At 41.7% G+C, this 26748-nt stretch overlaps 1 protein-coding gene, 1 long non-coding RNA gene and 1 other non-coding gene across 9 annotated transcripts in view, besides 5 other annotated features; 1 reads left to right on the top strand and 2 right to left on the bottom strand.

Annotated features, from left to right (window-relative positions):
• Positions 1–26748, bottom strand: part of IGF1R (insulin like growth factor 1 receptor) — a 315992-nt gene that overhangs the window by 169348 nt on the left and 119896 nt on the right. The gene's annotated exons all lie outside the window — the stretch shown is intronic.
• Positions 129–423: a silencer, noted in NCBI's record as "tiled region #1759; HepG2 Repressive DNase unmatched - State 8:EnhW, and K562 Repressive non-DNase unmatched - State 21:Repr". NCBI's record gives its function as "represses a minimal TATA promoter and a strong SV40 promoter by Sharpr-MPRA in HepG2 and K562 cells {active_cell/tissue: HepG2 | K562}" and the evidence as "EXISTENCE:reporter gene assay evidence [ECO:0000049][PMID:27701403]".
• On the bottom strand, positions 10681–10757 carry MIR4714 (microRNA 4714). The gene has a single exon (NR_039864.1). It is a non-coding gene; the product is annotated as a microRNA 4714 (primary transcript).
• LOC124903560 (uncharacterized) lies at positions 11230–25557 on the top strand. The gene is made up of 2 exons (XR_007064772.1): positions 11230–20232; positions 21324–25557. It is a non-coding gene; the product is annotated as an uncharacterized LOC124903560 (long non-coding RNA).
• Positions 17073–17979: an enhancer, noted in NCBI's record as "H3K27ac-H3K4me1 hESC enhancer chr15:99320433-99321339 (GRCh37/hg19 assembly coordinates)". NCBI's record gives its function as "activates a minimal SCP1, AML or CMV promoter by ChIP-STARR-seq in primed H9 embryonic stem cells {active_cell/tissue: H9 hESC(primed)}" and the evidence as "EXISTENCE:reporter gene assay evidence [ECO:0000049][PMID:30033119]".
• Positions 17980–18887: an enhancer, noted in NCBI's record as "H3K27ac-H3K4me1 hESC enhancer chr15:99319525-99320432 (GRCh37/hg19 assembly coordinates)". NCBI's record gives its function as "activates a minimal SCP1, AML or CMV promoter by ChIP-STARR-seq in primed H9 embryonic stem cells {active_cell/tissue: H9 hESC(primed)}" and the evidence as "EXISTENCE:reporter gene assay evidence [ECO:0000049][PMID:30033119]".
• Positions 20987–21568: an enhancer, noted in NCBI's record as "H3K27ac-H3K4me1 hESC enhancer chr15:99316844-99317425 (GRCh37/hg19 assembly coordinates)". NCBI's record gives its function as "activates a minimal SCP1, AML or CMV promoter by ChIP-STARR-seq in primed H9 embryonic stem cells {active_cell/tissue: H9 hESC(primed)}" and the evidence as "EXISTENCE:reporter gene assay evidence [ECO:0000049][PMID:30033119]".
• Positions 21569–22151: an enhancer, noted in NCBI's record as "H3K27ac-H3K4me1 hESC enhancer chr15:99316261-99316843 (GRCh37/hg19 assembly coordinates)". NCBI's record gives its function as "activates a minimal SCP1, AML or CMV promoter by ChIP-STARR-seq in primed H9 embryonic stem cells {active_cell/tissue: H9 hESC(primed)}" and the evidence as "EXISTENCE:reporter gene assay evidence [ECO:0000049][PMID:30033119]".

The following is a 26748-nucleotide window of genomic DNA, read 5'->3' as shown; positions in this document are numbered from 1 at the left end:
TTTGCTGCTTCCTAAACAATCTATGACTGCTACAATAGTCAATATTTTCCCACTTAGTTTGCTTATGGATGTGAGGGTTAAATGTTATGAACATAATTTAGTGCTTACAACATCAGCAAATCTGGCTTCTTCCTTGAGCTGATACACAGTGAGGTTAAGGTCAGGGAAACATCCGTGCCTTCTGGTCCAAGCTGAGAGCATTGCTAAGGTAAGCAATCAAAGCTGGGAAGGCTGGGGTTGGGGAGGTGTCAAGGATGACACAATACAAATGCTAAAGTCTACAAAACAAGGTTGAAGACTCAAGTCCACAGCAGCAGTGGTTAAGGGGCGGGGGATTCTTGCTTGAAGACGACACCAGGCACATTTTCCAGTTGGAGAGCTTGTAGTGAATTCAGATCACTTGGTATTTCAAGTGTTTCCCAAACTACTGTAGATGAAGGGCTCTGAAATTATTCCATTTTGAAACTCATTACTGATTTTGTTACAACCAAATAGCAGCAAACATTTGTACAGCAGTTTCCAGTAGTTGTACATAAAAATGCTTTGGAACACATTACTTGGGAAATGGAACTTTACACAGACAAATCAGAATGCCACTTACCTAATGGAGACAGTTTGCTTACTAATTAATTCTCAAGTCCATTTTGTAAATAAAAACAGAAATGGGGCCATCCTGGAGAATCATGATGCTGTTAACTGAGCTACATGGAAGGCGCAGTTTTCCTCCTCTTATCACTGGTCTTTTCCTTCTCACACTAAGCAATCTGAGCACCACGGGGGGCAACACCTGCTCTCTAATACAGAAGAGATGGGTGTATACCTCCATTCTAATACAGAATGTCTCCATATACCCAGCCATTTCTAGGGAAAATCATCTCTGACAGCTGGCATGAAATCAATGTCCACCTGAAAAGTACCTTTGAGGGCCATCTAATAAAGGCCAAAACTATGGCCACGAATCCAAAACTGCGGAAGTCTAGACTGGCGTTTCTAAATAAGCTAGAGAAAAATACTCAATGTGCGACATCTTGTAAACTCACAGCTGCTGAAGAACAGTGTCTTTCAGTCACATAGCTGAACTGAATGCAGAGGACACTGCCATTTGTGACCAACATTTCCTTTCTAGGGAGGAATACCCAGGACACTTGTTACGGCTGCTACCTAAGTGCTAAGATAGGGCGCTTCGCCACTGTGCCCCCTGCTTCATCTCAAAAACTAAAATTTTCCATCAAAAATTGCCCTCATTTTGTGCCTTTTTGCAAAAGTGAAGCTATCTAAATTCTAGCAAAGGAACGAACACAGGTATTTCAGAATACCCCACCTTTAAGGGTCTCAAAGATTCCAGGGTGTTCCCTCTTAGGATGGAGTTTTATCTTGGCTGAAATAAAAGGGTCTTAATAAAGTCTTTTTCCTGCAGACCTCTGGGTATAAATTATAGATTCATGTCAAAACAGTGAAAGGGATTTGAGGCAAAAGATATTTCTTTCATAAAATATTATGCATCAGAGTATACGTTCTATGCTATAAATATTTAGCAAGGGATAATGTGACATATTTACTAATATTTCTGTCAAAATAACAACATCTAAACTGTCACTTCAACAAGGAAGCTTCTCTTCCTGTTTTAGTATAGAGAAGCACTGGGATATCGTCTCTTTTCCTTTTAAAGAAAAATGTATTCTGACTGCTGGTAAAATCAGGAGTAACTTGAGTCTGTGACTTAAAGGGCAGAACTAAGCCCTATACTACAGTGATAACAGTAACAGGAACATCTGATTACATATAAGCTGGCTCCTCATAAACCCTGATACAACCTAAGGCCTCCATTTTCATTACACACCTTCAAAGATGCTTTTAAAATGGACTTGTTTATTGACAACACAAGATTTTTTTTAAGTACTTGTTTTCCTTTTCTAAAGGGGAGACTTCTTGCTATTTGCTAATTTTCACATCTGTCAATGCTGACAACAACTGGATCTGTTGAATAAACATTTATTCCTTTTGACAAAGAACCTTCACATAAAATTGAACTCAATGGAACTTTATGATCGGGGCAAGAGAATTTGGAGCAACTTCACAGATTAGTAATATCTAACAGTGGCCAGGCCCTGGAGGTTCTCTTGCAGTGACCCTGGGGAATGGACCAGTCTTTGTATCAGCAGAGGACAGACCAGAGCTTTTCAGGAGGAAGAAAAAAAACAACCCAACAAATCAATACAGCAATATACAATGGTAGACAAAGCTACACGCGTTTACAGAGTTTCAGCGCATAGAAACATCCAGTTCAGAAGCCTGTTAAACTTACATCTGTATTTGGAATCTCATGGGAGGCAACCCCTGGCAAAATATCAACTCTTATTGAACCAAAACAAAATCTGTGTAGGCACAGAGTATCAGTACAAAATATCCAAAAACAAAAGCTCACTTTTCCAAAAGAAAAACGCTAAGTTCAAGGAAGCAGCCAATAAGTAAGAGAAGTTTGGGCTTTTGACCTTCCCACCCTCCCATGCCACCTAGGAATATTCATTTTTAAAAGACTGAAGTTAAAATATATAATACATATATGAAAAGATCCCCTAATTTGGGCCAGCCATAATCATCTTAAAATGGTAACCTGGGTAACAACCACCTACCATAATTTATCCTTTGAAGATAACCACAGATTCATGGTTTTGATTTTAAAAGCTTCTTTCCAAACAAATAAATAGGTATCAAATCAAAAGGCACACTTTAAAAATAGGAAGATTTTGCTAATTTGTCTTCATTTGCAAAGATTAATCTTACTCTGAAACCTCATTTGAGAGTGCTCTAGTCTCTCAGGATGCATAGAAATGCCTTATAAATGCTAAGTTATATAATAATGGTTATGTATTTGGGTGTTAGTCATCTGCTCTTCTTGCTGAGATAAATAGCTACCATCTGAAGGTGAACACTTCACCTTCCCTACATTTACAATACTCTACCATCAAACTTTCATTTAGATTAGCAAATAAATGGGAGTTGATAAGAGAGCTGTCAGGCATACCTAACAAACCTGAAACCTAAGTGTTAGGAAAGTTATTCTGACTCAAGTATTCTACATACAATGAATTTGGGGACCTTATAGGGTAATAGGGAAGGAAAAAAGATTTTTCTCTTAACTAGCTGCTGGGCCCCACAAACAGGGAGAATTGTCTAAACCTGAGCCACCATTCTGATCCTCAAACCCTGCCAGGTGAGGACCTATAGCTAGATTGTGTACTGGAGGATATTAGAGCAGATTGCTCCTCTGCCAACTTCTCTCCTTCCTTCTTCTATTTCTTCCCTTTCAAACCAGACCACTGAAACTCTCAGTCTGTATTTATGTGAAATAACAGGAACGTTAAACATGCTACCTTCCATTTGTACAGAATTGCCATGCAACACAAAGAATGATTATGCATTAGCTACGTCACATTTACCTGTGAAATTTATCTCATTGTAGCACTATAACTCTATTTACTAAAATATGTTCATCCTTCGATCACATAGTATTTTCACCAACTTAAAATTTTAAACGGAATCAGAAAATATACAGCCTTTCCTAATGGCCTCCTTAGGTTTTCAAGCTTCTCCCCACCTTCTACTTTTTTTCAGATGGTATAAGGACTTTTCATCTGTGATACCAATGGGTACTTTTGGTTGGAAAATCTTCCTCTGACACAGTCCACAAGTCACACATTACACACCTAAGTGGTCACAAACAGGATTTTAATCTATGTGAACAGATCACCAATCTTGGTTTCATCCTTTTATGAGTAAAATGTCATATAAAAATAAACTCCTTAATACATGTAATAAGTTACAAGTGAAGTAAAAACTAAATATTAGAGGAAAAGATACAAATAAGTTAGTTGTTGCTTTTTTAAGTTTTTCAAGATACAGAATATCATTACAGCTGTTGCATTTGAAAGATGATGCAACAGACAAGGGCAACCACACCCCCAAGATCTTTGCAGCTCCACAAGAATAGGATTTAGACCCTTAAAGAATATGTCTTAACATTTATCAGTCAATAATGTATTAGGCATTTTTAAGTAATTTCTAACCAACAACCCATCATCATCACTGAATCATCTGAGCATGAACTAAGCTATGCAAACTTCTTTAAAGAAAGTCTGGGACAAGCTTCAATCTAATGAAGGCTTAGGAACAGCTTTACTTTGTGAACAACTACAGCTTGCTGGAGAAGAGGCATCTCACAATAGCACAAAAGAACACAAAAAAGAAAGTGATCTTTTTGATTAACCAACGTCACTTTCTGCTTTGTTTTAGGCATTATAAGGTAAATGAACTAAAGGTAATCAAATGATGAAGTTCTTCCTGCCCTAAATGAATGTGTGTTTAGTCCATTTACCTACTGAGTCAACATGGAAAGAAAAATAAGAAAGAAAACTAAATTTTGTAAGACAGTAGAAGTTTTAATACATACTCAGTTCTAATGCCGTTAATTTTGTTTTCCTTCCGATTTCCTTAAGGGAAGACTCTGGTTGAGTCTTTCTCTGCTTTCCACATAGCCCCTCGAGGCACAGAGACAGAAGGGTCTGCTGTGGGAAGAGACCATGGAGCAGGTGCAGTGGCCCCTCTGAGGATAAAAACAACACGCCCAGAGGCTACAAAGCCAGCTAGTGACCCAGCCTTCACCGCTCCCAGACTCCATCTCCCCTGCTCCCCCGCTATACCACAGGACCTTTGCAAGTGCAAACTGCATTTGAGATAAGCTTCCCCAGACATGCTTTCATGAGGAGCTTATGGCGTTTTCTGTGCTCACAAGCAGGGTCTGGCACTGCCCTACCAAGGGAATGATCACTTGTAAGAAGAGGGAGGACAAAACTATCCCTGATGGCTCTTTCACATGTTTCTTTTAAATAAAAAGAGTGATGATCTTTCTAGGCAAGGACACAAGTTGCCCAGGCCACCCCCTTTCCCTTCAAACACCCATACCCACCTCATATGGCACATATAGTACCCCAAAATGCCAGATAAGCTGGGCCACCTCACACACTGCAATGACCAAGCCCATCTCCTCCATTGTCCTCATCCTTCCTTCGAAATCACCTGTCCCGGCCTCTTTCCAAACCCAAGTGGAACAGAGCCACTTGAACAGAGCTTCCTTCACAGAAATCCTCCGGAGGCAAAATCCTAGAGCACAAACTACATAGAAACTGAACAGTTAATGTACATTTCCTTTGGCTAAGTCACAGACACTAAATGTTGGCAGACAGAGTACATCTGAAGCAAATCAGGGCCATTTTCAGGGCAGAGACTTGCTTTTATTCTCTGAGCTCCAGCAACCCGCCTCTCTGACTTCTTCCTCCCATGGTGCTTTTCCACCCAGATAACTCGCCCCCAAAGCTGAGGACCCTCCCAAGGCCATGAAAGGGCCCTGGGTTCACCTCCACTGTCACAGAGTTTAAGAACACATGCCCTGTATAGCCTATTTTGTTTGCTTGTTTCTTTATTAAACTATAAGAGCATCATCCAATTTGAAATGCCCCTCCTCCAAAGAAAAAGCTGCGTGGCCCAATGTTAAAGGTCTACATCAGAAGTCACTGTTGCACATCATTATAATTAAGAAATGGCATATCACCTTCTTTGTAAGGTATAACATTTTCAATGTTGCAATATAAGCTGACCACCTCCTCTAAGGCGAGGACTCGGCGTCAGGGGCAGGGAGGTGGTGAGCAAAGAAAGGGCAAAAACAAGACCTTGATCACAGAAGCAAGAATCTGACATTGGATTATTTTTGAAACATACTACATACATAAGGAAAATGATGATGCTATAAATTAAAGTTGTGGTTTTCTACATTTTAAAAAAAGGCTAGCCAGCCGACCTTATCATCCCTGTCATTCCAATGGGAAAAAGCGTCATCAGCACAATTGTAGAAGCCTAGAACAATGTGTCCCTGTCAACTCAGTGAGGGTTTTCTTCTTTCAAAGATAAATCAAGATGCCATAACCTAGGAATAATATAACTACTTACACACAGAGAACAAAGTTGGCAATCACGATCTGAGTTAAGTTTAAGGTATGTTTGTCTTTCCATTTTACAAGAAGGTAAATGAACAGGAAAGTGAGCTGGAACAAGTAAACTGAGCCATAAGCCTACGTGTGCTTTTTTGTAGAAGCACAGTCTAAATACACACACGCAAGCCACTGCAAAATGACTTTCTAAGTTAAAAGTCAGAGAAATCAATGTTTGACTGACTATGGAGCATAAAAATTCTTCATTTGCTTTCATCAGCTGAAAAAAAAATGCTAGAAATAACTACGGAGAAATGGTAAAGAAAAAAATGTAATGTACACAGTTTTGCTGAAAACCATGAAGATACCAGCAGAAGAAAAAAGAAAATGAAGACGACAAATGTATTTCACACAAAGATGACCGGGGCTGTTTCTGCACAGCCTCCACCTGGAGCTGAATCACCGGCCAGAACAGGGATTAGGACAGGCCTCACTGGCCTCCCAGAGCTGTCAGACCTCAGCAGGGCGGGCGCATCCTTGGGTAGCCCAATCAAGGCTGAGCAGTATAGACCGTTTGCAAACTTGCGCAAACTGTGAAGTTATTTACATGCATTCAGGGAAAAGACTCCCCCAAACAGGGAAGCTTCTACCAAACAAATGCCTTAAAAATTATTTTATGAAAGAGATGTCTGTTATGTGTAAACAGACACTAATTGTTGCTGCACCTTGGGTAAGTGACAGGGCTCAGAGAACAGGAAGGAAGCCTGTGACTTAGCAGACAACAGGACAGTTCTTCCCTTTGACCTTCCACTGGTCCCAGATTATGACTCAGAGACTGTCTCCCACTCTTTACCCAAGGGGAGATCCCTGCACCTCCTCCTCTAACATCCTACATCTTTAAAATGCTCCTCTGAATCCCAGAACTACAGAAACCACAGCACTCGTGCTGGTGAGCAGATTCCTAATTGCAGAAGATGCATACAACTTGATGCTTTCAGATTAGAGTCTACCCATTCCTACCATGCATTTGTTCCTACACAATAGCATACGGGCATGTGTAGGAGGTCACCCCACATTCTTTATTAACTTAGAGAAATCACTATTTACACACACACACACACACACACACACACACAGAGAGAGAGAGAGAGAGAGAGAGAGAGATCCCTACCCACCATAGGAACGTGGCCTGAGGATCCAGAGGCAAATCTGCCATCAAGCGTGGTGAACAAACTAAAAACCCTACTTTCCCTTAAGCATCACCCCCATTTCTCTTTTGTCTCCCTTTCCCTCTCCAAATTCAATGTTCTCACACCACAAAGGGCCTCCAGGCACAGGAACAAAAACATATACGACTGATTCAAAAAGCAGACACATGTCCCTACCAGACACCTCCAGCTGAGTGTTCCAATTCTTTCCTTCTGAGTTGAGGATACTATTTGTTGGTGCAAAAGTAATTGCGGTAATAGAAGTTTCTGCAAAGTACTTCCAATGTGGAACCCACTTCAGTTAGAAAGTGGTGAGAGGTCTCTGTTTTAAGAGACCTAGGGTGAGAGGTCTCTGTTTTAAGGATCAATACTCTGTTTTAAGGTCTCTGTTTTAAGAGACCTAGGGTGAGAGGTCTCTGTTTTAAGGATCAATACTCTACATCTGCTTCCCAAAGGTCCAACATTTCTTGATAGCAAAGGTGGGGGGAGGGTTACAGAGCTTTTCATTTGGATTAGGAAGGGCAAAGCTCTGTGTCACCATTTTCCCTTTGCTCACGCTCCAACGCCTTCAGGATTTAGTCAGCCTGAAAGTTTCATAATTTAAGGTGGGTGGTTTTGTGAGCATGGGTTTCTGGGTTTGTTTGAAGGTGTTTTATCTGAGAGTGCTATGGGGGCACTTTCTATCCATGCCCCTAATATAGTCATGAACAAAAGTCAGGTTGGCACAGAGTGACTTTATTCTGCTCTGCAGGCCAGAAAGATTCAGGAGAGGACAAAAACAGAGACAGGTGTGCCCAGAGAATGCTGAAGTCCCACTTTTATGCCATGAATCCTTCCCAGGAGCCCAGAAAGAGAAGCTCTACTCAACTCCCTTGCCCGAGTCCCAGCCCCGAAGGAGGTCCAAGTCTCATGACCAATTACGAAGGGGCGCTGATGGAACCAGGGCGCTCTTGTGGATATTTAAACTACATTGCTGGCTCACAGAATGTCGTCACCAACCAGAAATAGTGCTATTTCAATCCGAAACCCAGGCTCTGAGCAATCCTCAAGTGGGTGAGAGAGGTAAGGAATGTCTAAGGATCAATTCTCCATGACTTGAGAAAAGGTTAGGACGGCAACAAAGTGGGGAAAGGCTTCACGTTCCACACAGGCTCTCTAGCTGCCCAGTTCTCTGTCCTACAGTCATGCAGGCACCTGCCTGATCATCTTGTGACCAGACACTGGCCCAGTTATTGGCCAGAGCACAATGTCCTCCCCAAACTATTCTAAAAAAAAATCCTATGAGTGAAAATGTACATGCAAACCTGGACTTTCTTCCCCCAATGCAACAACAACAACAAAAAAAGACAGTGGTTTTTCACTGTATTAGAGGCAACAGAGAAATCCCCTGTGTTTCCAGGTTCCTTAGAATACTTGACTGAAATAGGCTTATAGATTTTGATTCATCCACGTCTTCAAATAGGCAAAGGAGCACAAAGCAAGCACTGAGCTGGAAGGCACTTGCCACACCCGAGGCCTGGCCATTCGCTGCAGCACATGGCCTCTTTCAATGGGGCCATCTGTCCCAGAAAAATCTAGAGGTGTTTTCTTCTTTGTTTAATAAAAAAAAAAAATTAACTCCCTGGTTAACAATTAAACCACTGAGTAAAGACAATTTGCAATGTGGCTAATCATTCTGACTCTGCATTAGATGAGCCAAGGAAACCACACTGTATGTACCCTCAGGTTTTCCTCCACCTTGTTCTAAGTGTCCTGGCTTCAAACAGGTGCTGACCCCAAATGACTGGAACCAACAAAACCTGCACTGAGGTCAACTGGTGGGGAAACTGAATACTCATCTGTAGACCTAGGCAACTTGCTTTCCATGTCTGAGATTAACAAGGCTGTACTCGCTGAAGCCTAGGAGTGCACGTGATTTCTGGGGTAGCCACAGACCAAGCCCTAAAAGGGAGGGTGAGAGAGGCAGAGTCTGCAGGGGAGGGGCAGCAGCTGAAAGGCTGAGCGCTGGGACCATCCATAATTGGATTAGACAGCCGCAACCAACTGACTCTTTCAGCAGACCGAGCCCACATTGTGCTCCAGCTAGTGGTCACGTAGGTGTGCTTTGTTTTAAGGAAACCCAATACCTACATTCCTGATTTACAATACAGATGCTTTATTGGGGCACCTCACATGGTCAGACCCTCCTGCCTCTCTTTCCTTTACTGCTTGAGGTGGGTGGGGATCACTTCCTGAGCTCCAAGGAAAAATAATACAGGCTAGAGAATATTTGCATCAATAGCACAATCACAGCAGGCTAGACTGCTTTACCAACACTATCGAATTCAATCTTCAAAGTACTTCCAAAGGCATTCCATTTATTCCCAATGTACTGGTGAGGACTCTGGAAAAGTTCCACAAAACCTTTGGGGCTAAAGTCCTCTGAACGCTAAAGCCTGCGGCCCTGGGGCCAATTAACACACCTCCTATAAGTATTAAAATCTAAATTTTGCTACCCTTCCTTATGAACATTATTTTTAACTCTGGATTACCTGGGACTGAAATCATGAATGTTTTCTAGAGATTCTATTACTTGACATTCTCAAATACAGTGCACACACAACTACTTTCATATGCTACAAAGGGAAGAGGGAATTGTGACATCTGATAGAAGGATAAAGAAACTCAAGTCCAAAAGAACTGCAAGTATCTGACTGTGTACAATTAGTTCTTGGTACAAACTAGATATACAGTGTATTGTTTCCAAAAAGCATTCTGTATACAAGAAAAGTAGATTCAATTACCTAAATAACAAGATGACATTCTGATGATTTGGAGGTTAATTACTGTAAGGCACTAACCAATCAAGTCAAATTCCAGTTGCAAAATTGAATTTTAAAATTGTAATCATAAAATTACAAACTACTAGCAACTATTTCCCATGTTTAACAGCTTGCTCCCTTCTAAACACATACACATATATATATACACATGAACTTCTGTGTGTTCATATTCTTTCTGGTTTAATTCAAGTTGTCGAAAATCTAGACATGTTGTAAATACAGTCATCCCTCAGTATCCAAGGGGGATTGGTTCCAGGACTCCCACGGATACAAAATCCTTGGATGCTCAAGTCTCTGCAATAAAATGGCAGCGCTTGCATATAACGTATGCACATCGTCTCATAGACTTTCAGCCATCTCTAGCTTACAATACCCAATACAAATGCTGTATAAAAAGTTGTTATACTAGTTTTTAAATTTGTTGTCTTTATTGTTGTATTGTAATTTTTTTTTACTGTTTTTCCCCCCAAATATTCTTAATCTGTAGTTGAAGGAATCCGCAGATGTAGAACTGAAGGAGACAAAGGGCTGACTACCTGCAGTTTTACATAAGAGATTAGAATTACAATAACTCAGGTAAAGAATGTTCACAAACTGGACGCTAAACTAGGGCATATGGTCAAGTATGACTTAACCTAGACTAAATTGCTCAGCAGGAAAATGTGTATTTTGGCCAACTCTGACCACCTAGGTTGGTACACCTCATTCTGACATCAACCTAAGGGGTCAGAGTTGGCCAAAATAAAAATTCTACTAGCAGAAATTCTTTCTAGCAGTAAAAAGAAAAGGGAGATGCTCAGATATCCTGGACTCCCCAGAGGGGTAAGATTACCCCTAGGACTTCTCTGTTTACTGCCATGAGAAGAATATCAGCTTGCAGCACCATAATCCAGAGCTGAAAAAAGACTTTTTATACTTAAAAATAGGATTCAGGGGCCGGGCACGGTGGCTCACGCCTGTAATCCCAGCACTTTGAAACCAGCCTGGTCAACACGGTGAAACTCTGTCTCCACTAAAAATACAAAAATTACCCGGGTGTGGTTGCGGGTGCCTGCAATCCCAGCTACTTGGGAGGCTGAGGCAGGAGAATCGCTTGAACCCGGAAGCCAGAGGCTGCAGTGAGCTGAGACTGCGCCATTGCACTCTAGCCTGGGCAACAAAGGGAGACTCCATCTCAAAAAAAAAAAAAAAAAAAAAAAAAAAAAAAAAATTTCAGATGCCATAGTATTTGCAATAGACCAATCAAAAACTCTATGTGCATATAGCACATAAATAACTTCTAATCTAGCCTAGGAAGAAGGATAGCGTGGTACTATCTATAAACCCACTTTGTGACAGCAGCACTTTCTAGCAACAGCATCGGTATTCTCCACAAAATGTAGCAAGTGACACCTAATAAAAATAAAAGGAGTTGACATATCTTGAGCATGTATTGATAATTAGTAATAAACTAGCATAAACTAAAAAGTGAGTTCAATAAGTTGTATCTCTATATACTGGCAATGAGCAAAGAAATTAAATACTTAGGGTGTAACTCTACCAAAACATACACAGGACTACAAAAACTACAAAATGCTAATGAAGTAAATCAAAGAAAAACTAAATAAATGGAGGGACATGCCATGCTCATGGAATGTAGTACATTTACACCACAGAATACCATTCAGCAATAAAAAGAAACAAACTATTGATAAACACAGCAACCTGAATGAATCTATAAGGAATTATGCTGATGGAAAAACTTCAGTTCCAAAAGGTTACATACTATGAGTCTATTTACAGAACATTATTAAATGATAAAATTTTATATAGAGAGAACAGGTTAGTTTGTAACCAGGCATGAAGGAGAGAGGAGAGATAGAAGGGAAGTAGGTGTACCTTTGTGGTGATGACATATATCCTTACTATATTAACGTCAATATCCTAGCTGTGATACTGTACTAGTTTCACAAAATGTTACTATTGGAGGAAAATGGTGCATGGAATTACTCTTTATTATTTCTTGAAACTGCATGTGAATCTACAAGTATTTCAAAATAATTTTTTTAATGGGGGCAGGGGGAGGTCTCCCAACAACAAATAAATTAACTTGCCATCCTCCAGCAGCCTAGGCAGGCAGAGAGCTTCTCGCAAATCACAGCATCATGATGTTGGGCCATCCAGATGTAGAACATATTCAGCCTGTGTGCTGCCACTTCATCAGGAAGTCACAGCTCCAAAAAGGTTAATTTTTAAGTCTCTATTTAGAAATCCTATCTTTAAGCCACATTGCTTTCTTAGCTCAAGGACTATTTCAGTTGTAACAGTTTAGGATTATATACTATGAAAACAATAAAAGGAGATCTTAAAATGAGCAATTACAGTAATTAGCACAAAAGAATTTCTAAGTCTATTATTGAGCAACTTTCTGAAGGAACAAGACTATTTTAAACTAAAAGAATGCATACCCAAGACACGTTTATTGCAGAGTTATTTGTAATACTAAAAAACTGGAAACAACTAAATGACTAATTTGGAGTGATTAAAGAAATCATGTCCATCATTCCAGCTTTATGCAATGGTTAAAAATGCATAAAGAGCAGGTCCGCAAGCACTGACAATAATTATAAGCAAGGTAAATTATTAAGCTGAAAAAAGATACAGAACAATGCAAAAAGATAACCCCATTTAAGTATTTAAAATTATACAGTAGAACATATGCATATATAATATAAATAAATGAGAGAGTATTTTCAAAATTAGTTGTAATGAAGACTTCATGGGGAAGGGGATGGTGACATTTAAAATGTATTTTCATTGTAAAAAAAACATAAAAATCAGAATTTACAAATTTAGATTTCTATCAATCATGATTAAAATAAGATGTTTTCCACTTAATTCAACATGGTAAACAAAGCTGCTTCCTTTCATCCCAAAATGGACATATTCAGGTTTTTATCCAAATGTGTTACTGAGTTTTGTTTCTTCTTTAAAAGTGTCTAGATTAGGGACTCACAAATTCAATTCTTTCAAGGAATACTACATATTAACAGGAAAGTTATTTGCTCAAATAGGTTTGAGAAATGCTATTTAAAACATAAACAGGAGACCAAGGCAGGAGGATCACCGGAGTCAGGAGTTCACAAGCAGACAGGGCAACACAGCAAGACCCCATCTCAAAAAAAATCAATAGGAGGGAAATAAGTAATCAGCCTTTTGCTGGGCTATGAAAACATTTTAGGCCAGTGCATGAAAAGATGCTCAGAGGATTTCAGAGTTCAAGAAATGTTGGACTACATTAACATTTAATGTAGTCTTGAACCTTAAGACTCTTAAACCTGGAATATCACAATGCTGTCCAAATTATCCATCAAGTCTACAAAGACAGGAAATAGACTCAATATAGCCCCAGTACCCCGGCACAGTAATAGCACATGGTACATAAGGAGCATGTGACATGCATATGCAAATAAGAGGTACAAAATATGCAAGGTAGATAAAGTTCTAAGTAGTTTACATATTTGCCCTATCTTGTTTATACTATTTACCAAAAAAGGCTAAATGTTATTAACTCATTATTTCTATTCAAAAAGCATTTGATAAATAGCAGAAATTCAGTCAAGTACTTACTACTTTACAAAAAGCTCAGGTAAATAAATATAAATGGAAAACTGAGAAACTAGGTTCCACTATAAGCAGAGTCTTCACCAGCTATGGGTAGCTCTAATGGAACAGTAAAATCTTCTAATGGATTTAAATACGATCTGATGTGCGACATTAGTAATTTAATTTGGAGGGACATTTATTTCTAGCAAAAGTGATCAGGCAAGTCCCTTCTACACCCTAAAACCCATTTCTTTTTTGCCCCCAATTTTAAACCTGCCTCACTATTAAAGCTTCAAGACAAACTCTACAATCATTTTATCAAGCTCCAAACAAGCTGCAGAAGTACTAAAATTGTTTTTAAATTATAAATCAATTTGGGAAGAAGTGACATTGATAATATTCCAGTTTCTCACCTAGAGAAAATGGCATTTCGCTTCATTTAAATCTCTTTTTCTTTATTTTGAAACAGGGTCTCGCTCTGTCATCCAGGCTGGAGTACAGCGGCACAAATGTGGCTCACTGTAGTCTTGACCTCCTGGGCTCAAGTAGTCCTCCCACCTCAGCCTCCTGAGAAGTGGACATGACAATTGTATGCCACGACTCCCGGCTAAATTTTGTTTTGTTTTGTTTTTTAAGAGACAAAGCTTGCCATGTTGCCCAGGCTGGTAAATCTTCTTTTCTACATTGTTCAGTAAGATTGTGTAGATTTTCTGTAAATACATCCTACAAGTTTCCTATTAGAATTACTTCTTGTTATCTGGATTGTTTAATTAAAAAGAAATGCAGTTTTATTACTTCCAAAAACATTAAGCAATTCACTTATCTATCTAAACCGTAAGGAGATCCTTAAGGAGATAGACTGCCTAAAGTGAATAGTGAGGCATGATTTATAATTAGTATGTTAATTTCATCTGTAAATAGGAAACTATAAAACTTTTCAAGGTAGTTTAAAAAATTCCATCAAGTAGATAACATATTCACCTTACAATTTTATTTACTCTCTCTCTCTTTTTTTTTTTTTTTTTTTTTTTTTTGAGACAGAGTTTCATTCTTTTTGCCCAAGCTGGAGTGCAATGATGCAATCTTGGCTCTCCACAACCTCCACCTCCCGGGTTCAAGCGATTCTCCTGCCTCAGCCTCCTGAGTAGCTGGGATTACAGGCATGCGCCACCACTGTGGCTAATTTTGTATTTTTAGTAGAGATGAGGTTTCTCCATGTTTGTCAGGCTGGTCTTGAACTCTCAACCTCAGGTGATCCACCCGCCTCAGCCTCCCAAAGTACTGGGATTACAGATGTGAGCCACCACACCCGGCCTACTCTGTTAATTTAAACAACTATTAAATGAGACAATACACTGCAAAGCACTTAGAAAAGTGCCTGACACAGGAATAAGTTTTCTTTTTTCTTTTTTTATTTTATTTATTTTTTTATTATACTTTAAGTTTTCAATAAATGCGAATGTTTGTTATTACATAAATTTAAAAAAAAAAAATAGCCACCTGGCTCCATTCTTGGCCACAAACTCTGAAGAGGTGGAGTTAAAGTGTGTGAGGTATGTCGGATAACCTCCCATGCAAGTCACTACCACAGCTGACATCCCGGAGCCAGAGAACTTGATGAATGTCTTCAATGGTCACAGCTGAAAAGGGAACTAACTCCAGGTCCCCAGGCTGACTTGCCCTCCGAGCCTGGAGGGCAAACTCTGCTAATTAACTCTCTTTGCTTGGGTTCGCCTCTGTCATCTTCACCCCTGTGCCAACAGGCTATCTCCACAGATAGCCTGCTCTCGTGTGCCCTCTACTGGAGGGCTGTGGTTCCAGAGTTGCTCCAGCCTCGGACTCGGCTCCCCGCAGACGGAATGTCCTCCTCCAGGGAGAGGCTCGAGTCAAGTGCTAATGTGTTGTCAACCTCTGACTCCAGAGAAGCGGATTATATGATTTAATGATAGTTCCGCATCAGAAAAGATTTTGAAACGTGTAGCTCAAAACAGTAAAATTTCACAGTGATTATCTGAAACTGAAGTAGTCCAAACCGCTGACGGTGTAACCTGAGCAACTTGTTTTAACTCCTCTGAGGCTGTTTCCTCATCTGTACGGTGGGAATAGCAGTACTTACCTAACCAGGCTGAGGATTAAATGAATTAGTATCTGTAAAGTGCTTAGAATGGTACATAGCACAGAGCAGTGTTCTTAAATATTTCTTGAAAAAATTAATAAAGGAGAAGCCTACCTTAAACCTTCAGAGAAAATCTGAAGTCGAAATTTTTAAAAGCTAAATTTTAGAATCAATTGCATTTTAAAGTCATCATGAAACATGAGGTTGCTGCTACACAGTCACTTGTGCTGGATTATATAACAGGTGAAAACTTATTCTCTTGGGAATTTCCAGAACTCTGTGGCACAGCCAAAATACACCGACCTTGAATACATTGTTCTGGAACAAAGTGGATGTACTGAACACTGAATTGATGTTACTACTTCGTACCAAGCACACAGCACTGAATGCTCTCACGCTCAATTATCTGACAGTGATGCTAGTAAGAATAAAACATAATTTTTAATCTTATTTAAAATGTATTATGCACTCCCAGAGTACTTACAAGAAACTACTCTTCTGCTTTTCATGGATATCTATTCATAAGAAGAAAGACAGCTGGTTTTGGGGCTGGTGGTGGGTTTTTCCATTGTTTTCAAAAGACAGAGAGCTATGCATATGCTGACTTCCAAAGAGGCTATCATCAGTCACCGGAAATCCACAGAAAAGGTCACTGCCAGAGATCTGCCATGTGTGATCCACCCACTCTCACTTCAAGGCCACTAGCACCACTACCAGGCTGACACAAGGCCCCTGGGAAGGTGGCCCAGTGCAGGACAGACACAAAAGGGACCACAGTCAAGGAGCAGCCTTACTTTCTCACCTCACCCAAGATAGAGAGCTATGGGCCAAGGGAGGGGAAATCAGGATATGGCCACCCAGGCCAGGGCTGCCCCCACTCCTCAACCCTGCTCCCCTGGAGAAAGACCGTACTCTTATCAAGGGCCCTGTGGGTGACAAAGAGCTAGAGAGCCACTGTGACCACTGGGTTTCTGCACCATTTGGCTAATGAAAACCATGACCCTCTCTGGGTCTCAGTCTTCTCATCTGTGAAGTGGAAGGATAGGCAAAATGACATGAATAACAGAATGAGTGACTATAACCCAAGCCCACAGCTTAGTGTCAAGGATTGTGAGAACGAAGCAAAAGGCATCAAGCACTCTGAATTGTTCAAATAATGAAGATGATGCCCACAAAGACAGATAGAACATGCCTCAAAGCTTCTCAGTTTTCCTACGACTAAGATAACCAGTCACCATGTGGCATGACTCCGAGGACCACGTACAGGCTTTGCATCTTCTGTGAAGGCTTCAGTTGCCCTTGGGGATACATCGCCGTTCTGTCCACCAACACTCTCTCATGTTCTCAGGACATAATTACCTATTTCTGTTCTATCCTCACCCCCTAAAAGATTAGTCTAGAACCTGTTCTTATTAAGCTCTGCATTGTCATTGCTGAACACTCTGTCATGCAGTAGGTGCTCAATAAATATCTAACCCCCGTACACACATCAAAAACAAAAGAGCATCTATGGGTCTTTATACTGTAAGGTTTTACTTTCTTCTCCCCTACTTCCCTACTATTGGTCCCTCCATCTAGACCTTACGATCTGCAGTGGTCTACATTTGGGACCCTTACAGTAAACGTGTGCCACTTCTCTGAAAAGTCATGCAGCTGCTCCCAGCTCCGTCTCTGCATGACCAGGCAAGTGAGTGCAGACCTCATCTTACATCTGTGTGGTTCTCTTTTCTGCAGGCTGAAATGCTGCTCTCCCCATCAACTGTGAGGATGCACTTGCTGCCCTCTTGCCCACCAAGGTATGGGGCCTGGAGAGCTACGTTTGTGTCTGCTCTGACTTTGGACAGCCCCCACAGGGGTCATTCCCCGGCAGCTCATTCCATCACTGAGATGTGCTGAGATCCCAGAGCCGCCTGCACCCTTGAGGTTCCTCTTCGGTCATCATTCCTTGCTTGGACTTCTTTAGACGTCTAGAGACTTCCGAGGTCGGTGAGCAGACTGTGTCCTTAACCAGCATTTTGTTTCTCAGGGCCTCCCCGGGCCCCTCACCACCTCCCTCTCAGACTCCCAAACCCTGGAACTGAATTCAAGGCAACCTTCTTCCCTCTTTGAAAGGTTTAACAAACAGCGTCTCAACTTTAACCTTGGCAAGTACATTAACCAAGTTCCAGGTCACATGAATTAACGGATGGCCCACTTAAAACAAACCACACTGAGTAGCTACGAGGAATGTCTCCACTGCGGCAAGTGCAAAATCCAAGTGAAGGCCCTGATCAGCAAATTGAGCGTGCTTCAGGACACCCGCCCCTCCTGCCTGGCCCCCTGCCGCTGCAGCAACACATGTGAACTGACACGGTATCTGAGCACACCCCGGGAAACAGACCGCAGCCCTCCCTGGCGCCCAGTGATTACAGGCCAAGGCTGAAAGCAGCAACAAGAACCAAGAAACAAAGCCTTCTGTGAAACCAGAAACCACACAAGGTCACAAAAACAGCAAGAACTTGTAAATCCTGAAAACCCTTCAGTGAGGAATTTTCCTAAGCACCTGTGTCCAGCTCTGAAACAACAGTGGCTTGACACATACCTGAGACGATGAGAGCACAAATCCAGCCGCCCCTCCGGAAAGACCATTCAAGGTCACGGGCGTTTTAAGATGTGGTTCTCTTTTGGGCTTATCTGTGGAAAAACATCCAAGGCACAGACCAAACAGCTGCTTTGAAAACACACTCAAGACAGACCACATCCTTGCACACCGCTGTGGCCTCAGGTGAGAGGAGGTGGAGGTGAGGGCCGCCCAGCACCAATGTCTGGTAATGGCAGGTAGGGGAACTTCACATGCACCTATGTTATTTCAGAGCCTGGGCTCAACAGGGAGGTAGGGGGAAGGAGGGAAGAGGCTCTTAAAAATAATGCTGACAAAATCAAGTACCAAGAACACAAGTGTCCTGATAACTAGTAAGTTTCTTTTTTAAAGAAATAAAATCTGGCTGGGCGCAGTGGCTCACACCTGTAATCCCAGCACTTTGGGAGGCCAAGGCGCGTGGATCATCTGAGGTCAGGAGTTCAAGACCAGTCTGGCCAACATGGCAAAACCCCATCTCCACTACCAATACAAAAAATTAGCCCGGCATGGTGGCACATGCCCATAGACCCTGTTACTCAGAAGGCCGAGGCAGGAGAATTGCTGGAACCCGGGAGGCGGAGGTTGCAGTGACCTGAGATCACACCACTGCACTCCAGCCTGGGCGACAGAGTAAGACTCCATCTCAAAAAAAAAATAAAAAAATAAATAATAAAAAATAATTAAATTAAAATAAATAAATAAAAATTTCTCTTGCCCCTTCCACCCTCCCTTCGGGAGTTTAAGGAAAATCACCACAAAAGAGAAAACCAAAGTCAGTCAAAAGCTGCTTAAAGGATGTGCAATTACATGTGATTGAGAAAGTCTGTATGATTAAAGCCAGAAAGAAGGCTGCGTACTTGGCAAATACTAGGCACTGTATTTAGGCAAATATTCTTTCAACTATCAGTCTCTTCCTCCCACAACACACCTCCCTAATTTGCAAAGATTTGTTTAATAGACCAGTGGTTCTCAAAGTGTGGTCCCAGACCCCAAAAAGGATCACATGGGAACTTGACAGAAATGCAAATTCTCATCATCCAACCAGCCCGAGACCTGCTGAATCGGAAACCCTGGGGTGGGGCCCAGCCCTGTGAGCTTTAACAAGCAACCCAGGGGATTCTGACCTGGGAGACCCACTGTACTCTGCCTGGATCCTTCAGTGCGGACCAGGGACCCAGCACCAGCAGGGGCCACAGGCACAGAAGCCAGGTGTTGCTCTGATCCTTATAGCTGCAGAGGTGGCCAAAGACCCCTCCCCAGCTGCTTCCCCGACAAGTGGGGGCTTGGGACACATCCCAGGTGGCATAGCTGTGGTGGTGGCAGTGGTAGGAGGCCCAGGTTGAGACATGAGGGGAAGAACAGTGTCTAGGGCAACGGTCCCTGAACTTGTTTGCACAAGGTACTCACCCAGAAGCCTCGAAAACACGGATGCCCAGTCCCACCCCTGGAAATGGTGATTCAGTTGGTCTAGAGGTGGGGGTGGCAGCCTGGCTTTGGAATCGTCAAAGCTCCCCAGGTGATAATAATGTGCAAACAAGTTTAGATCTGCCTACAGTCTTGTGACTGTTAAAACAGAGATGGGGCAGGACACAAAAGGCACCTTCCATGTGGAGGTGGGGGGAACGAGGCAATGGTCCCGCTTGCTACAGCAGGGAGGACTTGGCCTGACCCAGCTGGGGGTCATCCATTTCTGAGTGCTCCAGGGGCCTGGAACCAGCAATGGCTTGATACACATGGACTCAGGTATTATAACCTATTTTCCCTCTAAGGACTCTGGGACTAAGGCAGGTTATTATTAACCTCCAAGTCAGACAACCTCCAGTGGAGCCAGGACTCAAACCTGGGACTGCCCAGCTGGAGAAGGAGTCTGGTTCCAGGTTCCTGAGCTACGTAACTAGTAAGTGAGACCCTACCTCCAGTTCCCTGATGTAATATCCAATAATGAGTCGAGTACTACTCATCTTCCTTTTAAATTTAATTGTGGGAAAATATCCATAACAAAATGTACCGTTTTAACCATTTTTAAGTAGAGTGCAGCAATGTTAAGTAAGTTCACACTGTTGTACAACATCACCGCCAGCCACCTCCAGAACTTTTTCCATCTTGCAAAAGTGAAACCATCACTCCACTCCCTTCCCCAAACCACCCCCCACCCCCCCACCACCGCAGCCATCATTCTGTTTTCTGTCTCTGAATGCGACTACTCCAGGGAACCTCATCTAAATGAAATCACATAGAGTATTTGTCCTTTTGTGACTGGCTGATTTCACCTGGCATAATGTCCTCAAGGTTCATTCACGCTGTTGCATGTGTCAGAATGTCCTTCCTTTTTAGGACTGAATAATATTCTATATTTCTTCTTAAAGAAACAATCCTCAACTTTAAAATCTAAACTCGATAGTCAAACCCTGCATTTTCCATGCCTAAAAGCATAGACACTGCAGTCCCTGTGCAATCAATGGTAAACACATCCTTCAGTCTTTTGTGGGGAAATTTGCAATATGTTCCCCATTTTTGATCTGTCTTGTGTTTTGGCCTCTAATTCAGACCAGAAGAATCTACTTTACAACTGAATCACAAGGGATCTGAGATGGGTGCTGTAGCCAACGTGACTTAACAGGCAGCATTTCTAAGCACAGGAGAGAGAGAACTTGATCTGATTTGAAGGGATTCAGGAAAGGCTCATAAAGCTTCAGTGAATGTCCCCCGCTTCTAAGATCCTCTTCTTTTTGTCACGGCATGATGTCTAAACCCACAGCATAGTTCTTCAGCTATTTCTGAATTGCTGAGATTAACCAAAAACCAATCCCAAAGAGATAAAAATAATTGATTCAAACTGAGTATACAATAAAGGGGATTTATTTCCTTAAAACTGGAAAAAATACAAAAATAGGGTAGGTTTCAGGCACAGTTTATTCTGGGCTACTACTGCGGTTGTCAGTGATTGTGCCAATCCTGTCTCTCACCCCACAATGGCTTTGTCCTTAGGCTGGCTTCCCCCCGGATCACAAGATGTCGTCAGACACCTACTGGAGCTATGTGGATCCTTATTCACACTCAGAGAGAGCACTGCTTCCCAGAGCCACCAAACCACAGTTCTGAGCAGCGTTCTAAGGGACCAACCTGAACTGTGGCCAGGAAATGCCTCCCTGCTGATTACAGTGTGGGGTACAGTCCATCTTTTGGGGGAGGGGAGGACGCTCGAATGCTAGTTGGGGTTAATTTCACTCAAAATGTGTGGCTGCTATGCAGTGCAGATAAGAGTGGTCCCCAGAACAAAATCTGGGCGCTGTGAGCAAAAGGAAATGGTTGCTGATCCATGTCCCCCAAGGCACCCCATGGCTCAAGTAATGCTCCGTGTTAATCCTTGTGCTGAAACTGCACATACTTCTTGAGAACGCCTTGTCTGGAGCGGTAAGCAATCTAGCATTTTAACTTCCCCTCAAGGAACTGATTTGTCCCTTGTGACCCCATTAATGTTTGCAGATGCCTTGACCTTCATTAATTACGGGAGTTTTTGTAAAGCTGAACATTGAGGCCAACAGCAGCCATACTTCTCTTTTAGGAAAATGGCAGCCACTCTGAGCCTCGAGGTTTACACAGCCCCCAACACTCTCTGGATGGGACTGTACATGCAGCACGGGGGTCATCTGAGCCACCAGCTACTCATCTTGTATAGAAACAAAACAAAAAAGAACTGAGTACAGTAACCAAGGAAGAAAATCATAAAAGTTCACACGCTGGAAACAACTTTCTAATTCTCTTATCTATACTTGGCCACAGATGAGCTAAGAATCATCACCAGTAGTTAACTCAAGAGAGGCATGCAAATATGTGGTAAGATGCTATAATTTTGAGGTTAGAAAATAAATCCATGTATTTATAACTTAAATAGTGATTTGAATCAAGGAGTATTAATGGCTGTACCCTTAGAAAAAGAATGATTCTAACCACTTACCCTTCAGCACCCAACCCCTATCAAAAGCAAACATATTCTGTGATAACAAACATCGTAATATCATCTTTATTTGTCTGCCCTGGAAAAAACACCAAATCATGACTGGTGTTCCTGTTATTGATTCCTCCCCAACAAGGAAAAAAAAAAAGTGACCTTTTGGCTGGGCACAGTGGCTAGTGCCTATAATCTCACCTCTTCAAAAGTAAAAAAAAGTTAAAAAAAAAAATTAGCTGGGCGTGGTGGTGTACATATACAGTTCTAGCTGCTAGAGAGGCTGAGGGAGGAGGACTGTTTGAGCCCAGGAGTTCGAGGCTTCAGTGAGCTATGATTGTGCCACTGTGCTCCAGCCTGGCCAACAGAGACCTAATTCTTAAAATAATAATAATAATAATAATAATAATAATAATAATAATTTTTAAGTGACCTCTTGAATGAAGTCTTCCTTCATGTTTATTTTTTACAAACCTTTCTTAGGTTCAGAACAGCTTGTTCAATATTAATTCCATAGAACAGAGCCGACCACACTATGAGAACTCAATTTGAAAACAACAGTATATCAAAAATATCAGTGATTTTCAAAAAATTCCTCTTTTCCAGACTAGAAATTATTAATCAAAAAATTATGAATTAGTAGTTTTTAGTAAAGTTGGTATTTCACCAATTTTGTTAAGTCAGAAAACTCCTTATAAACACCTGTTTCATGTTTTCAGAAATTTTCAAATGATTCCACAGTTGCTACATGGTCAATAAAGAAAAACTTCATGCTTTTACTTCAATTAGAATTCTCTGTTCGCAGTTTGGGGGTCTCACTGGCCAGTGTGTGTATGAGAACTTAAGGGATGTATGCACTTTAGAGCTCAGCTGTGCAAGCTGGGCTTTCCTTACCTACGCTGCTATAAACATACTGCTAGAGGAGGGACATTTAAGCTACTCTCATGCTGCTACAAGATTAAATGCCTCCCTACCTATTTAAAAAAAAAAAATGTCAGTGGAGAAGAAGGAAGGAGGGAGGGAAGGAAACTCAGCTTGAATGTCAGTAACTTGATAAGCATGCTGCTGATAAAGAACACCCTGGACTTTGTAGCAATTGCCAATAACCAAACCAATAAGCAAACAATCCAAACTTAACCGTAACCTTAAATTTTTTCCCTTTTCATGTTTCATTTGAACATGAAAATGTTCAAATCTCTTGCATACGTTGTTATTCATAAGTGAGCTGCAGGGGGAAACCCAAGCCTAGATGTAAGATACACTCTTTTCAACATGCATGCAGGCCTCACCAGTGATGTCTCTGGAGGCATATTCTGACCAGATCAACTGCCTCACCTGCGACATCACCGTTTACTGGGTCTCACTATATATAAATAACTTCTCTGCTTACTCACTAAAGCCTTGTGCAGGTCCCTCTTACCTCCTCAAATACGTCCACATGTGTAAGCACACATATCTGCACATCGGTTTGCTTTATTCACAGGAATCTGAGAACCCCTATGAAACGGCAGTGAGGAAGGGGAGAGAGGGTGGAATGGGTACCAGAAGGGAGAGAGGAAGACAATGTACAGGAAAACAACAACAACAACAAAAATCCTAAGTAGTTGTGTTCTCCAAAGAACTAAATGTAAATGGTCCCAGCACACCTTAGAAAAACAGGAGCAGCAGGGGGTATGTGTTAGTCATCTTTCTGAGCTCCACGTGGGTGCTTGGATGGAGGGATGAATGATGAATGGAATACACAAACAGTGCCACAACTGACTCCCCCTCCGTGAAGACCCCATTAGATTCCAAGGTGCACTTCCTCATACAACAACAATCCAACTCTCACCAACAATCCTCATTCGAAGTTTCATCCACAGAACAAAGTCCTCAGTAGCAATTCTCCACCTTTAAATGTTCAAAAGTACTGCCATGGGGACTAAGACACAACTGGGACCTTTTTATTGACTGTTGATCTAAAGTTTTAGGGATCAGAAGTCTCTGAGAATGTGGTGACTTTTGGGGACCCTTCTACCAAGAAAAATGCATACAGACGAATTTTGACACAATTTTGACATGGTGGACACTCAGGATTCCATGTTGGAAAGGAATTCCAACTTAGATCCCTGCCGGCAAGTAGAACCAGGACACGGCAGGGAGCGGGAGGGACCTGAGAGACAGTGATTGTTGCCTGTTGACAGCTAACGGCCAACTTACACAGATTCCCCACACCCTAAAACCATCCCTGGTCTTCCCTGTCAAAAGGTTCTCAGCTTAAAAATCTATGCCTACACCTATGTCTTCCCCTTTATTTTTTATTGATGTGTGATATTTGTACATATTTATGGGGTTAATATGATATTTTGAAACATGTATGCAATGTATAATGATCAGAATAATTAGGATATCCATCATTTCAAACATGTATCCTTTCTATGTGTTGGGAACATTTCTAACCTTCTAGCTATTTGGAAATATACAGTAAATTACTGTTAACGATAGTCACCCTATTAGAATGTATTCCCTCTATCTAACTGAATGTTTGTACTCATTCTCTACCCCTCTTCATCGCCCCCTTTCCCAGTCTCTGGTAACCATCACTCTACTCTCTACCTCCAAGAGATCAACTTTTTTTGCTCCCACGTATACGTGAGAACACGCAATATCTGTTTTTGCCTTCCTCTAACTTTTAATCCCAGCAGAGAGACATTCATTCAGCCCATGGTCACACTCATTATCATCTGGAAGTCAGAGTGACATGGTGGACACCCAGGATTCCACACTGGAAAGAATCCCAATTTAGATCCCCGTCAGAGAGCAAAACCAGGGCAGAGCCAGGAGGGGAAGAGACTTGAGAGGCAGCAAGTGCTGACTGTTGACAGCTAATGGCCAACTCAGGAGATCTACAGAGAACAAGGAAGCAACCGAAGACCACAGAGAGGCTAAGACAAAGGCGGGAGATTAACACTCACCGGAATAATCCAGCAGACGGAAGGGGATAGAAAATCTCAAATCCTGCTTTAAAGAAATTTTGCCTGGAAAAATCTTTGAGCATGTGCCATGTACAAGTTTAAATAAGCAAGACAAACAGCTAGGGCTAATAAGTGTAAAAGCAGTGCTACTGATAAGAAAATAGAAGAGAATGACAAATTCCCAGGCAAAATGAGATACAGAAAATAACCATGTCAACAATGTACAACGGAACTGTCGATAAGTCCCCTCCATATCCTGGTCTAATTAAACCCTTTCTCACAAATGCCAGCAATCAATAAAAAATTATTTCTTATTCAATGTGGACTTCAGTTTTAATTACTAGCAGTACAACACGCTGTGATTCTGAGAGCATCTGATCTGCTTGAATATACTTCTTACCAAGTCTAAAAGAATGACATGATGACATAGTGTCTTCTTTCCTTTCCTCACCTGTAGCACTGTTGTTGGACTGAGGCCTTAGAAGGCCCCTGGGAGCAGCTGATGCATACAGCTTTATGAGTTCTTACAGAAAAAGAACAAAAGGAAGTTAGCAGACAAGGTGAGAATGAGTTAACTTCCATTCATTTTTTAACACCTTATACCCCTTAGAGCAAAAATAGGTGAGTTTGGAAATGCTTTAAAGGCCTTAAGCGACTTAAGCAACAAAACACAATGCCTATCCCTTCATGGACAAATTAGCCACAAGGTACATACCACAAAGGTACAGAAATGTTACTCTTTGATGCTATTTGCTTACAAAGAAGATCAAGAATCTTCCTGTCTAAAAATGTTCAAGCACTGAAAGAAATACATATTTATACACTTAAAACTGTTGCTGATTATTTTGATTTAGAGATTTTATGTCAAAGAGTTAAAATAACAGGTCAAATAAAATTTTTTTGCATCAAATATTAAGTGGATTTGCATTTCACATTGTCTAGATTTATTAATATGGAAGCTCTGGGAGACCAGGGTTGTGAGGTGTTGTTGTTGTTGTTGTTGTTGTTGTTGTTTTTGAGACGGAATCTCACTCTGTCACCCAGGTTGGAGTGCAGTGGTGTGATCTCCGCTCACTGCAACCTCCGCCTCCTGGGCTCACGCCATTCTCCTGCCTCAGCCTCCCGAGTAGCTGGGACTACAGGCGCCCGGCACCGCGCCCGGCTTTTTTTTTTTTTTTTTTGTATTTTTAGTAGAGACGGGGTTTCACCGTGTTAGCCAGGATGGTCTCGAACTCCTGACCTCGTGATCTGCCCGCCTCAGCCTCCCAAAGTGCTGGGATTACAGGCATGAGCCACCATGCCCAGTTGTGGGCATTTTTTTTTTTTTTTTGAGATGGAGTCTCGCTTTGTCACCCAGGCTGGAGTGCAGTGGTGCGATCTCGGCTCCCTGCAACCTCCAACTCTCTGGTTAAAGTGATTCTCCTGCCTCAGCCTCCCAAGTAGCTGAAATTATAGGCACGCACCACCACGCCCAGCTAGTTTTTGTATTTTTAGTAAAGATGGGGTTTCA

Source organism: Homo sapiens, chromosome 15 (genome assembly GCF_000001405.40).
Source record: "Homo sapiens chromosome 15, GRCh38.p14 Primary Assembly".
NCBI lineage: Eukaryota > Metazoa > Chordata > Mammalia > Primates > Hominidae > Homo > Homo sapiens.
The sequence above is the reverse complement of the archived record's forward strand: the minus strand, read 5'-3'. Positions and strand labels throughout refer to the sequence as shown.